The 14,056-nt window shown below is 47.9% G+C and overlaps 2 protein-coding genes across 67 annotated transcripts in view; one reads left to right on the top strand and one right to left on the bottom strand.

Annotated features, from left to right (window-relative positions):
• On the bottom strand, nucleotides 63–6,612 carry CKMT1B (creatine kinase, mitochondrial 1B). Of its 14 annotated transcripts, none has more exons than NR_135750.2 (10): nucleotides 6,198–6,612; nucleotides 5,102–5,424; nucleotides 4,299–4,497; nucleotides 4,000–4,095; nucleotides 3,392–3,613; nucleotides 3,177–3,262; nucleotides 2,938–3,061; nucleotides 1,142–2,093; nucleotides 517–642; nucleotides 63–312 (listed from the first exon to the last, which is right to left on the bottom strand). NR_135750.2 is itself a non-coding variant. In XM_011521194.2 (10 exons), the coding sequence occupies exons 2-10, from the start codon at nucleotides 5,248–5,250 to the stop codon at nucleotides 196–198; spliced, it is 1,347 nt and encodes a 448-aa protein (XP_011519496.1). In that variant the 5' UTR covers nucleotides 5,251–5,424; nucleotides 6,198–6,612; the 3' UTR covers nucleotides 63–195. The 14 variants fall into 14 exon arrangements, 9 of the variants coding, with proteins under 9 accessions (XP_011519496.1, NP_066270.1, XP_011519497.1 ...); XM_011521194.2 differs by having other exon boundaries at nucleotides 1,142–1,276; nucleotides 4,299–4,590; NM_020990.5 differs by having other exon boundaries at nucleotides 1,142–1,276.
• Nucleotides 9,216–14,056, top strand: part of PPIP5K1 (diphosphoinositol pentakisphosphate kinase 1) — a 56,779-nt gene continuing 51,938 nt past the window's right edge. For 39 of the 53 annotated variants that reach the window (XM_047433387.1, XM_047433384.1, NM_001354396.2 and 36 more), the window contains exon 1: nucleotides 9,216–9,297. The gene's annotated coding sequence lies outside the window, so the exon portion shown is untranslated. Of the gene's footprint in view, nucleotides 9,298–9,525; nucleotides 9,588–9,737; nucleotides 10,131–14,056 lie in introns of those variants that run through there. The other 14 variants (XM_017022737.2, NM_001354400.2, NM_001354389.2 and 11 more) reach the window with 3 other exon arrangements.

Below are 14,056 nucleotides of genomic sequence, written 5' to 3'. Positions count from 1 at the left end.
CTCTTTTCATTTCCTGAAGGCTGCTCCCTCCTCACCCCACCATTAGAAGTAACACAGACAGCTGCAGCATAGCAAGGAGTCTTTACTAGGATGGAGGCAGGGGATGCGGGGGCAGGTCCAGAGCAAGTAGAATGGGCCATCATTAGAATGAGCAGAACTCCTGGGAATCTTGAGTCATCAGCTGGCGATGGGGAGTTAATGCTTGGTGTGGATGACAGGTGTGGGGATGCGGATATCCTGGCCTCTCTCCAGACGCCGTTCACAATCAATCAAATAGTTTACTCCATCGATGACCAGTTGCACCAGCTCCACCTAAGGGACACTAATCTTTGATCTGCTTCCTACAGTCTGAGTTTTTCTTTATCACTGACTGACTTGCCTGCTCATTTCCAATTGCCTCCCCACTCAACCTGAATTTCATTTCAGATTATCTTACATCCCGGAGGCTCACTCACTGCCATATTTCGGCCCTCGCAGACCTATACCTCTCCTTGTCCTAATCCCTTAGGATCTCACCTCTGATTTGCCTAGTCGGTCCAAATTAGAAATATCAAAGACACCGCCTGTAGCAGCAGTGTCCACTCCTCCAGTACCACGTTTTTGGAGTCTTAGGTTCTCCAGGATCTTTGGGAAGCGGCTATCCTAGAGAGGAGATAGGGATTGGGAGCAGGGTCAATAGAGGCAGAGACTAGTCCTACCTGAAAGAGCCCTGAACCTGCTCAGAGCTCTGTCTCCTGAACTTTTTTTTTCCTTTTTTCTTTTTTCTTTTTTAATTTTTTTTAGACAGGGTCTCTCTCTGTCACCCAGGCTGGAGTGATCACAGCTCACTGAAGCCTCGACTTCCCAGGCTTAAGTGATCCTCTCACCTCAGCCTCCACTACACCCAGCTAACTTTTGTATTTGTAGTAGAGATGGGGTTTCACCAGGTTGCCCAGGCTGGTCTTGAACTCCTGGGCTCAAGTAATCTGCCTGCCTTGGCCTCCCAAGTGTTGGGATTAGAGGCATGAGCCACTGTGCCTGGCCTGTCCTCTGACCCTTTAGCCACAACATGTTTGGCTCCTTTCCAAAGGGTCCACTCCCTCCCCATCCACAACCCACCCTTCCTTACTCACACCCCTCTGTAACCCCACAACTCCTTTACTTTGCTTAGCAGGGGCAGTTTGATGTGCACTCCTGCCCGAAGTCCAGTGCCCAGGTTAGATGGACAGGTCAAGATGTATCCCAAACGCTCATTCCACATGAACTCCCAGCCACGTTCTTGGATAAGTCTCTCCACCTGAGTCCACAAAGGTTTTGTTAACGAAAAATCAGGGATATTTCATTAACCCTGGACCCTCCCTTAGCTAGACCCACAAGAACACTAGAAATATGTCTAGAACAGAAACTTGGCTGTGAATGAATGACATTGGTCTTTTTTTAAATGAAAAAGGTTTGTTATTGTTTTCATGCATGCATGATGCAAAATTATGATGTGCATAATAATGAGATTGTGAAAAAATATCTTATGTGGAAGAAGAAAACTCGAAGGAGTGGTGTATTAAGGATGATCTAGGGAAATGAACAGAGGTGGTAAACTGAACTGAGAGATGACTGATTATTCAATGAGGTCTGCATGCATCGATTATCTTTGCTTTGCTAATGAGCCTAGAGCTTAGAAGGGTCCCTTCAGACAGAAGATGAAGGTGTAAGCTTTGCCAGGAAGAGGTAAGATAACATTCTGTTAGCTGTGAACGGAGCACCTGTGTGAATGCAGAGAAAGATGAAAACAGAGCAGAAAAGCCAGATTCATAGGAATAGGGGGCGGGGGGAAGGCGTTTGGCTTCACTTAACCATGTAGTCATGAAGATGACTATTAGAGTTCAAGAGACAAGGGATCTAGCAGAATGATGGTCACAAAGACCACAACCCAACATGAGTAAAGGGATCCTCTTTATAGTTCAGAAGGAACCATGCCATAGGGGATATCTTACATGCTGAACATGGGGGGAAACTCTTCCATCCAGAATAATATTGCAGCTAACACTTTAACACTTATTAAGCACTTACTGTGGACCAAGTACTTTACCTGTATTTCACTTAATCCCCACAACAACCTAAAATGTAGAAAATCTCATTATCCCAATTTTACAGATGAGGAAACTGAGGCATATAATTTAAAGGTACTTCCCTACCCACTCATAGTCAGAATATGTTATCTATTACTTGCCAAAAATAGTAGAAACTTCTCAGAATCTAAAAGAGGAGCTCTTTTTCTTTGCAAACCTAAAATAGAACTGTATGTTTGAGAACATACAGTAAGAATTGAATTGAGTTTATGGGGATTTCTAATGTAGACTTGAATACGGAGACCCAATCCATGTAGGATTGATGATTCAGTTCAACCTCTCATCTAGAGCCACATATTCTAGAACTTGAACCATTCTATCCTCCACCTTCCCCAGTCTCTCTCCGAACTCTCAACTTAAAGCCTAGACCCGATACTTTAACAAGAATGATAGAATCCAGAGTCAAGGCCTACCTTGTCTCAGAACTGGGTGGTTATATTAGAGTCATGAACACAGCAACCTCTCCCCGCCAACATCAATCTAAGCTCGAATGTTTTCCTTATCTGCACACCTCACCATCCCACTGCACACATCCCAGGCACTGACGTGCCATCTCATTTATTCCTTCTTTGCACTCTCTGTCAACAGCCTTGTTCACTTCCTAAGATTCCTGACACTCTTTCTTTTCCTAATCTTAGTGTGACCACATGTCCTGGTTTTCCCAGTATGGTCCCAGCTGGTTTACACCTTTAGTCCTGGAGTGAGTCCTAGATAGTCCTTTTTACTATAAGACATGTCCTGGGTTGGTTGGTAAATTACATAATCTATTTATGCTACTCTTTGGTTTTCCTTATGTCCTCCCACCTAGCTCCCCTACATAGTCTTCTCTAACCTCTTTGAGGCCTCGGCAGAATCTTTCAAACACTCTCTTCATGTTACCACCCTTCTCCATGGAGATCACCCGTGTATGATCCTCCTCATTCACCCAGATCAGGAAGCTCTTCTCATTGTTGTGCCTGAGGGCCGGAGAGGGACAGTGATCAAGAGGCAAGGCAAGAATTGGGAGAGATAGAGGGAAAAAAAGCATTTATGAGGGCATGAAGACAAAAGAGGTAATGAGCAGCTTCATACCAAATTCCACGAGCATCTGGCCAGTCTCGAGCCATTCCTGCTGCAGTCAGCAACGGGGACACAGGCTTATCAAACAGAAAGTGGTCCTGGGAAGAGTAACGGGACTTGGGTTAAGAATCTTCATGGTGGCCCCTGGGCCTTTCAGAGCCCATGTCTCATCTGGCCCAGCCTTCCCCATCTGCTCCCACCAACCAGCACCCTCTTAAGGCCCTCACATCAATAAGCTGCTGCTGTTCAGCCTCTGTCATCTCACTGAGCCTATAGTAACGTCCAGCCAGGTCACCCTTCAGGCCACTCAGTGCATCCACCACAACACGTTCCACCTCTCGTCGCTCTGCTCGAGTGCAAGCTGGAGGCAGACTGAGTCCTCGGATGCTTCGGCCAGTTCTGACTCTAGAGGACAATACATACCTCTCATCAAAGTAGCCAGAACGGATCTGGGAGATAAGGGAAATGAATGTAAGTCACAGAAACACGGTGGGAACTGAGGGCCCCTGGGAAAGGAGAGACCTTCCTTAGGCATTAGAGGACTCTTTGTGCATTCTTCCTGCATGCATTGGAAGAAGAGGCCCTTTGGGAAAGCACTGGAATTGAAGGGGGCATTGCAGACCTTTCCCCAAACCACCCACCTTGGGTCATGGTCATTCTTATCTATCCTTCCATCTCCATATATGCTGCCCCTTAAGATATGATTCTTTCCTTACATTAAGATTAAAAGCTCAGCTGTATAATGACCATGAGTCAGGAAATAAGGTGAAGGGGTTGGAGATACAGAGTGTTGTACACAGGCAATGCAAATCAGAAGTGGGATATTTGAACTCACTTTACTGGCATCTAGATCCGTGGTGTGCTTCATTGTCCGGGGGTCATATCCATTGTGTCGCTCTTGGATCACAGGGTCAAACAGGTCAGCAAATACCTAAGGGGAGTTAAGAGGGAGAGATGGTTAAGGAGAGGGAATCCCTCCCCAGACTTCAATTGTGCATTGATTTCACTGGTTCAGAAAACTTAAGTATGGGGGGCTCAGAGTCTTGGGGGAAAGTGAGAGGTCTTTAGGGGAAAGGAGCTGGGATTACTGGGAAGATGAATTGGATCATCAGGGAGACTCTGGGGACCCCCTACCTCATAGGTCTCCTCATCTCCAGCCACCATGCCCACAGTCTTGATGAAGGGGTGGCCAGGGTTGTCCACGCCAGTCTGGATACACTGATCTAGCGTCCAACCAGTGGGTGTGGTCTTGTCGCAGAGCCGTGCATAGACTGCTGGGGTCAGGTGACTGGCCATGCAGTTGTTGTGCTTTCGGAGGTCTGGGTACTCAGCGCTGGGGAGGGGGTACCCAGTAACCATGGAGGGAGGGCACAGACGCCTAGACCTAGTGCAGTTACCTGGGAGCTGTCCAGTTGGCCATGTCTGGCTTTGCTCCGCGGGAGGAGGGGGAATTAGAAAGAGGGTAAACCTTGGTAATCTCTTTAGGGACTTTCAGAGTCTATGCTTTCCTAATAGTTCTAGTTGCCTCTGGCTGGCCAGCTCAGTTTCTTCAGATCTGCTCAGTTCTTTCCTCCCATGACACAACACTACGGATGGAGGAGGGGAAAAGCCTAAGGAGAGGAATTGAGGAAATGAGGGAAGGAGATGGAGGGGAGCGAAAAGGATAGTTCCTGGCTTTACAATTAGGGATTTGGGCAGCCAGTGCAGCTAGAACTCGTAGGGCCAGAGCTGGTCTTGGCAGGTCCCCAGGAATGTTCTTGCTTTATGGTTTTGGCCCCCACCCCCACCCCACTGAGGTCTGCAGACTGCACAGCCCTCCAGCTCCAGGGCCTTCGTGATTATAGCCCTTCTCTGTTGCCCGGATTCTCACTTCTACCCGCACCTTCGTTCCCATCACCTCCTGCCCCCGCCTCCTCCCGCGCCTCAGGCACTGTTACCTCGGGGGATACAGCCTCCGTCGTTCACTGGCAGCTCGTACAGGTTCCGGTCGGAGCAGAAACCCAGCGGCTAGAGACCCCGCTCCGGCCAAAGCCAGGAGCCTGAGTCCCGGGCGGGCGGACAGCAGACGGGAGAAGGGACCAGCCATGGCTTGAGGTCTGGCTACGGGATCCTGGAGTAGGCGCTGGCGCAAGATAAGATCCGGAACAGGGAGGGAGGATGCAACCGGATAGACCGAGGGCCGGAGCTAGGTCCGAGGCTGCAGCCGAAATGGGGGTCGGATTGGAGGCTGGAGCCGGAATGGGAGCCGGTGCCAATCAGACTGCAGGAGAGGCGCAATGAGCTAGTGGCAGGCGGGCGGGCGGAGGAGAGGGAGGCCCCAGCCGCAGTCTCCAGGGGTGGGGCTCCCCCAGGCCCCGCCTTCCCGCCTGCCACCGCGCTAGGTGCGCGAGGGCAGGGGTGGGCAGCACCCGCCAGGTAATTAGCGGGACCTGAGACTCGCGCGTCTAAAGCCGGGGATGTAGCCCCCTCCCGCCCCGGGGATGTGGCCGCCCAGATTTCAGCACCAAGTGGAGGACAGCACCCACGTGGACTAGCTGAACCCAACACCCTTCCCCCACACCCCTCGGTTTAAGCTGAAACTCGATCCGTCTACCCTGTGGGTGTGCAAGGGTGACACTGCCCAACCTTTCCTCTGCTTTCGGCCTGCCCCAGCCACCTCTTCGGTCTCCCGGGGGCAGCCGCGGGGAAACCGCGGAATAAACACAGATACCAGAGGAGGATATGGAGAAAGCACAGGGTTAGAGGCAGGCACTGGGAAAGACACCCACTGGCTCAAGGTCACCTTTTCCTTAGAACCAGGAAGAGGAGCAAGGTGCTTCCTTGCCACCTCTGTGCACGCCTTACAAAGTTGAGAAAGGACTCCCTGGGAGGAACCAAGGAAATATTAATTCTTATGCCATCTGTGCTGTGTCCTCCACCTCCATTCTGCACCCAAGTCTGAAGCCCTGTTATTTCCTGCCTCTGCTTCTCATGATCCCCCACTTTTTGTTTTCCTTTTGTCTCTCCCACTTTCCTCCACGTCCCCTACCTCACCTTTGATCTTTTACTTCTCTGCGTCTTTTCCAGGCTCAGATGTGTTTGCTGCTCACAGGATGCCCTCTGCGTTTTCTCGGCAAGCTTGCCCACCTGTTGGTGGTGCTGGGTGTGGGGGTGGGCAGGGAATCGTTAGTTTCCTCCTCCTCCTCTCCCTTGGCTTCTCTCTCCGTAGTTCCTAGTTCCTGTGCTGGAGGAGAAGGTAAAGTGAGGTGAAGGGTGTGGTGAGATGACTGGGTGTGGGACTGGAACAGGCAGGCACAGGTCTCCAGACACCACATGTGTTTCCTCTCTTGTCTCCCTAATGCTGTTTAATCCAGAGAGTAAAGGCGAGTGGTGTACAAAGGCATGAGGTCGTCAGGGAATCTCTGCCTTCCTCGTGGTCCCCTCTGCTGCTCTCTCTCTCCTCGTGAAACACATATTCAGATTTGAGAGGGCTTTGTTTCCCAGCTCCAGGTATGATTTGACCTTTGTCCTGGTAGCAAGGAGAATGAATGCTAGAGTTGAAATAGAGATGAGGGGCTTCAGCGTGGAGGGTCAGTTAAGGTGGAGTAGCACCGTGGCATTAGTCCCTTCCCTCTGCTATCCTGGTGTACCCACAAGACAGATACTTGGAAATCTTAACAGAGAGTATTTGGGAAAGAGAATTCCCTTTACATAGAAAATTCCCCCATATTACTCTCATTCCCTTCATTCTCCTTAGGCCTTCCTTGTGTCCTTTTATTCTACCTTTGTCATTTGTGGGTATTCTTAGAAGTGTCCACTTCTCTCTTGGGTCCATCCCTTCTTCTTCTGGTAAGACATCAATTATTAGAGAACAGAGTTATGCAGCTGTAGTGTGGAAAATGTTACCTGTGTTGTGGGGCCTCTTTACCTAGGTTGAAAAGTAGCCATGAGTAAATAAATATAATTTCTTAGAATAGCGTGTATTTATCCAGATAAATAGGGAGATAATCTTCCAGAGCAGTAGGGTTGCTATTTGATTGAGAGGGTGTTACTAAGGAATAGGAAGTGGGAAGAGATAATTACCGAAGGAGAAATAAGACAGCCAGAGGAGTAGAGAAATTACCCAAGTTTAGAGAGTAGCTTCCCAAATGTGAACAATAATTCCACTGAGAAAACACATGTACTTATGCACTTTTCTTATCCCTTGTGTGCCTTTTACAAGCACATAATATATTAATGCTCATTTAAAAAATTATTTTGCAGCATATGGAAGTAATCAATATATGGTATTGTTATATGGTATTTCATTTATTTAATAAGAATTATTGTTGTCAATAGTATTTAATATTTTTAAAGCACTTTACAATTACAAGGAACTTTTATATGTATTATTTCATTGAGTTGAATTGGATTGTTCCAATGATTACTGGGGACAGAGTCTACATTTTCATGGGGATAGTAAGGGGAGTTAAATACCTGGAAGATGCTGTAATAGCTAGTTTGAAGGGCTAGAGTGGTGGAGGGGGTATGAGCCTGAGCATGAACTAGGGAGGCATCTATTCCTCTTAGAATAATCTATTCAAGCCATTAGAATCATTTCTATGTCCATTCAGGAGGCCTTGTGGGGTCAGTACAATGAGGCACGACTGGAAAAGTGGCAAGACCCCTAATATTGCAGAGAAGGAAAAGGGAACAACTGTCTTGACCAGGGAAACCCAAGTGAAGATGCGAGGATAATAAGAGCAATAACATATACAATACAAAATGCTTTCATATTATCAGTACCTTTAAGTGAGGTGTTTTGTTGTTGTTGTTTTTTGAGACAGGGCCTCGCTCTGTCACCCAGGTTGGAATGTAGTGAGGTGATCTTGGCTCACTGCAAACTCCATCTCCCAGGCTCAAGTGATCCTCCCGCCTCAGCCTCCTAAGTAGCTGGGAGCACAGGCATACGCCACCACACCTGGCTAGCTTTTGCATTTCTTGTAGAGACAGAGTTTCATCATGTTGACCAGGCTGGTCTTGAACTCCTTGCACTCCAGCGATCTGCCCGCCTCGGCCACCCAACGTACTGGGATTGTAGGCGCGAGCCACTACAATTGGCCTTAATTAGGTTTTTGGGGGGTTTTTTTGGGTTCTTTTTTTTTTTTTGAGAAGGAGTCTGGCTTTCTCACCAGGCTGGGGTGCAGTGGCGCCATTTCGGCTCACTGCAGTCTCCACCTCCCGGGTTCAAACGATTCTCCTGCCTCAGCCTCCCGAGTAGCTGGGATTACAGGTGCGCACCACCACACTCGGCTAATTTCTGTATATTCAGTAGAGACGGGGTTTCACCATGTTGGCCAGGATGATCTCGACCTCCTGACCTAGTGATCCGCCTAACTTGGCCTCCGAAAGTGCTGGGATTACAGGCGTGAGCCACCGAGCCCAGCCCTAGGTTTTTAATCCTATTTTTATGGATGAGAAAAATAAAGGCTCAGAGAAATTAAGTGAGTCGCTCAAGGCTGCACAGCTATTAGAGGTAAGGCCAGGATTCAAATCCAGCTTTGTCTGGAGCATAGAGAAAAAGCAGGCTGTGGAGATAGGAATCAATTTGTCTAGAGTTCCAGGTCCATCCACTTTCTTGCCTCCTCTGTAAATGTCTCTCTGTTCCTTCCCTTAACTTTCTTATCTGCTTCTCTCCTTGTCTCTTTTTTGTCTCCAGTCTCCCTATCAGTCCTCTTTACATCTGTTAAAATTTTCAACCTTTATTTATTGGATCTGTACATATATGAGACCCTGTTTTGTCTCATAAGACAAAGGGAAGACCTGGTTTTTGCTCTGAAGGAACAGCAATGGCACAAACTCTGCCTCTTCCTCTTTCTCAGCATGAGGCTTCCCACCCACCCCGTCGTCTCATGAAACGTCTCTGTCTAGACCACGCTTCTGGACTTTGGCGACACACTAAGAAATCAAAGGAAGGGAGCATCAAGTTGCATTCCCTCCCAGAGCCACTAGGGGTCACGCTCCTCCGCGCAGAAGCGCCGGCCAACGCAGCCTGACTCTGTTACCGGTGCGCGCCCTTCGCTGATTGGTGGAACCGCAAAGAAGTCGCGCTTTGATTGGGCCGCTGTCAGGTGTCGCTGCCTGCAGGTTCGGCTGCGCGAGCGGAGGGAGGCGGGTGAGTGAAGGCCGGGGGCGGTGGGGGAGTGGCTGGGGCTGGGGGCGGTATCGGACCGGGTGGGCGCGGTAGAGTGGGCTTGGTGGGTTCCCAGGGCTGGGGTTCGTTCCGGGTGGGCTCCGCTTTGGGAAGAGGCCCAGCGGAGGGGCCTTAGTGTCAGCGTAGGGAGAGTGAGGCGGCGAAGGCGGGGGCGGGCAAAGGCTAGTGGAGTCGGGATGCGAGGGCGGTATTCGTGACCCGGAGCTGTGCGAGGAGAGTACCGAGGAGGGGGTCGGCGGGAGAGGAGATAGGTATGTGGGGGTCTGCGTGAGGAAGAGGGGGTCCTGTGGGAGGATGGAGGAGCGGAGTCGTACAGGGGAGAGGATCAAGGTGGAAGGGATCTGCGCCAGGAGGGGTGGGGCTGGAGTCCAGGAGGAAGGGGGTAGCTTGAGGAATGGGTTGCGGCTGAGAGAAGACAGCCTGGAGGGAGGGGTGATGTGAGGAAAGAATGGATGGCAGGTCGTCATTGTGGGGGGTCACTGAGGGGTCAATATAAAGATGTTACCAAGTATGATGACTCGTGCGAGAGGGTGAAGGAGTTTAATACTGGGCAATCAGTGAGTGCGAGGATTAGTTGGATTAATGGAATTAGTTGACCAATGATGCGGGGTGGGATGGGGAGGCTGCAGTCAGTATTGGGGCAAGAGTCATAGCAAGTTGGGGAAAGAAGGCGAAACGAAGCAGCTGATACTGAGAACAGGGAGAGGAGCACAGTTGATCAGAGTCGGAATGAGGAGTGTGTCTGAAGAATTAAAAATTGCATTAAGAAGGAAGTGAGGCGTCCACTGTTCAAGGTGGGCAGAAAATAGTGTTGGTGGCCTGAGGAGTTTTTCTGTGTTGGAAGTATTCCTGCCTGGAATTTGTATTGATATTTCCTCTTCGCTACCAATGGAGTCCACCATCAAGTGCATAGTGATTTAGGAAATTAGATGACTATGCAAGGAGCCCTAAATTCTAAGGGTTAAAGAAGTTACACCGTTTACCCTCCCTTCTACCCCTTCTCCAGATCTAACATAGATGTTCCTGAGAAGATTGCCTGCCTGCCCCTCCCTCGTTACCTTACTCGCCTATCTCCTTGCTTCTTTCCTTCCATTCACATTGATTCCTGTCAGAGTAAGACTGCCCTTTAGCCCAGTGTGGAGTGTGAAGTTTTCTTTTCTTTCACAACAAAGCTTGGGGGAGAGGCGGATGGGGAGAAGAGCATGGAAAACAGGGAAGCGGCTCTGGGAACACCACATTAAAGCCCATCTTCTCCCAGAGGTGCATCTAAATAAATCCTGGCTTATTTCATAGCTATTTCTGTCAGGCTTCTATTTTTGCTTTGTTAACTGGGAATTTAGACCTTTCGTCTCTCTTCAGCCACATATTTGTAAACAGTCTCTTCCCTATTCTATTAGTTACCATGCCCCGTTATGTAGTTGCAGTAGAATTTCAAGAACATGAGTGTACATTCAGTGGAAAACGAGGAAGGACTCAATGGAAGAAAGGGCAAAGGGTTAGGAATCTTAGAGTTGAGAGAAAGTCCCGGCTTCAGAGCGAAGATAAAGAATGCAACAAAATTCTACTTGCTCAAACTATACAGGGACCTTGGGAATGTCCCAAGTCAGGGAAATTGGGTCAGGTCACTGAAAAGGAATTCAAAAAAATAGCGTTTTTATCAGGGGTAAGAGTGTGTGTGTGAGACCTGCAGTGCACAACAAGAAATATTAAGCCTAAGGAGAATGTCGCACCCCCGTGGCAGTTGAGAAATAAAGACAGCAGATAATGAAAACTGGAAAGGTCGAGAGGTCGAGGTCTATATAAAGGTCCGCTAGAACTTTCTTTCTGTTTATTTTTTTTTTTGAGACAGGATTTTCACTCTTGTTGCCCAGGCTGGAGTGCAGTGGCGTGATCTCGGCTCACTGCAACCTCTGCCTCCTGGTTTCAAGCGATTCTCCAGCCCCAGCCTCCTGAGTAGCTGGGATTACAGGCGTGCGCCACCCCACCCGGCTAATTTTTTGTATTTTTAGTAGAGGCGGGGTTTCGCCATGTTGGCCAGGCTGTTCTTGAACTCCTGACCTCAAGTGATCTGCCTGCCTTGGCCTCCCAAAATGCTGAGATTACAGGTGTGAGCCACTGTGCCTGGTGGTCAGCTAGAACTTTCTAGTCAAAACTGCAAACCCCAGTTGTAATGAAAGAGTTTGAAATAAAGATAGAGAAAATAATTGTTCAAGACTGTTTTCAAAATCTATGAGACTAATTACATATATAAGATATTATTTCTGTAAGACAAGTTCATTTACTTAAGGAGTTTGTGGCTTTCACTAGAGTCATTGGTCAGTGTTTCTGAGAACTTTTGGAGACCACGGAAAATTGCTGATGTGTGACTCAATTTTTATTTTTGGAAAATAATAACAGATATTCATATCCTTACAATTCATAGGAACAAATGTTAACCTGTGTATTTGCTTCAGATCTTTTTTACAATTGAAATAAACATTGTAGATAAGGTTGTGGAGTACCATTTGAATCCTCAGTTCCATTCTCCCTTCTCAAAGGTAACCACTATCATGAATTTGATGTCTTTCTTTCCAGTCCCTGTTTTTATACTTCTACTAATTATATATGCAGTCATAAACCATATGTAACATTTGTATTTATACAATAGCGATGTACTGCAGGTATATTTCTGCAGTTTGTATTTGGAAACTGTCCATTTATTACATATAGCTTTTATTTTTACATTGCTATTAGTCTATCATTTCTATATATGACATTATATTTATGGATTCTACTTGTAACCTCTGAACTGTTTTCAGTTTTTCTCATTACCAACAGAGAGATGAAGAGGATTAAGAAGTTCCTCACAAAAGTCTTATGTAGGAGAATTTCTCTACAGCAGGGTTTCTCTACCTCAGCACTACTGAGATTTAAGGCTGGATAATTCTTGGTTGTGAGGAGATATCTTATGCATTTTAGAATGTTTGGCAGTATCCCTGGCTTCTACTCACTAGACGCCAATAGTACCTTTCCAATTGTGACAACCAAAAATGTCTCCTGCCAAAAGTCCCCTGTGTAGCAAAATCACAGCTGGTTGAGAACAACTACATTACTTGTGTGTACACAGAAGTGGAACTGCTGGTTCAAGTTAAAGTCTTAAGATATTCTTACTGGTACAGTTTTAGGCAGGATTTTTTTTTTTTTCACTGTAGCTCCTGGTGTGAGGGACCTTGGCCTAGACTAGCACTGGTTCTATAGTACCAGGGGACACTAGAGAGAACATTGAGATTTCAGTTTGAGAGTGGGCTGGAGACTACTGTATGGATGCCTGTATTCTCAACCTCCCAACCACACTAGACCTCTTTCCCTGAACAGGTTTTCTGAACTTGGGCATTTGTCTTCTATTATTATTATTATTATTATTATTATTATTATTATTATTATTATCATCATTATTTGAGGCAGGGTTTTGCTCTCACCCAGGCTGGAGTGCAGTGGCACGATCACAGCTCACTGCAGCCTTGACCTCTTGGGCTTAAACAAACCTTCCACCTCAGTCTATTGAGTAGCTGGGACCACAGGCTTGTGCCACTCACTATGCCTGGCTAATTTTTAAAAACTTTTTGGCCGGGTATGGCGGTTCACGCCTGTAATCCCAGCACTTTGGGAGGCCGAGGCAGGTGGATCATGAGGTCAGGAGTTCGAGACTAGCCTGGACCGCATGGTGAAACCCCGTCTCTACTAAAAAAAAAAAATACAAAAATTGGCCAGGCATGGTGGGGTGTGCCTGTGGTCCCAGCTACTCGGGAGGCTGAGGCAGAATTGCTTGAACCCGGGAGGTGGAGGTTGCAGTGAGCTGAGGTCATGCCACTGCTCTCCAGCCTGGGCAAGAGAGCGAGACTCCATCTCAAGAAAAGAAATTTTTTTTTTTTCCTTTTGAAACGGTATTTTTTTTTTTTTTGAGACGGAGTCTTGCTCTTTTGCCCAGGCTGGAGTGCAGTGACATGATCTCCACTCACTGCAAGCTCCGCCTCCCGGGTTCACACCATTTTCCTGCCTCAGCCTCCCCAGTAGCTAGGACTACAGGAGCCGGCCACCATGCCCGGCTAATTTTTTTTGTGTATTTTTAGTAGAGACGGGGTTTCACCGTGTTAGCCAGGATGGTCTCGATCTCCTGACCTCGTGATCACCCGCCTCGGCGTCCCAAAGTGCTGGGATTACAGGCGTGAGCCACCGTGCCTGGCCGAAACAGGGTATTTTTGTGTCGCCCAGGCTGGAGTGCAGTGGTACAATCACGGGTCATTGCAGTCCCGACCTCTTGGGCTTAAACAGTCCTCCCAGCTTAACCTCCCAAGTAGCTGGGACCACAGGCAACGTGCCACCATGCATGGCTAATTTAAGAAAAAGCTTTTGTAAAGGTCAGGTCTACCTATATTGCCCAGGCTGGTCTCAAACTCCGAGGCTCAAGCAGTCATCCTGGTTCAGCCTCCGAAAGTGCTGGGATTACACGCATGAACCACTGCACCCAGCCTTAAAATTTTTTTGTAGAGATGAGGTCTTGCTATGTTGCCCTGGCCGGTCTTAAACCCCTAAGCCCGAGCGATCCTCTTGCCTCAGCCTCCCAAAATGCTGGAATTACAGGGATGAACCATGGTATCTGGCTGTGCAACTGTCTTTTAAGGTGGAGTAGATGAAGGAGAGAGAGAGCATGGGGGTTTTATTATTTTTTAAATTTTTGGTT

This window comes from Homo sapiens, chromosome 15 (genome assembly GCF_000001405.40).
Source record: "Homo sapiens chromosome 15, GRCh38.p14 Primary Assembly".
NCBI classification, from domain to species: domain Eukaryota; kingdom Metazoa; phylum Chordata; class Mammalia; order Primates; family Hominidae; genus Homo; species Homo sapiens.
Note: the sequence above shows the minus strand (reverse complement) of the source record. Positions and strands in the feature narration are given on the sequence as shown.

Bases quoted from the DNA above. Each gene is read 5' to 3' on its own strand.
- CKMT1B (XM_011521194.2), bottom strand. From the start codon at position 5,250: ATGGCTGGTCCCTTCTCCCGTCTGCTGTCCGCCCGCCCGGGACTCAGG. The intron at 3,263-3,391 runs GTGAGGGCCTTA...TACTCTTCCCAG, and splicing joins AACAGCAGCAGCTTATTGAT to GACCACTTTCTGTTTGATAA. The intron at 643-1,141 runs GTAAAGGAGTTG...TCTCCTCTCTAG, and splicing joins AACTGCCCCTGCTAAGCAAA to GATAGCCGCTTCCCAAAGAT.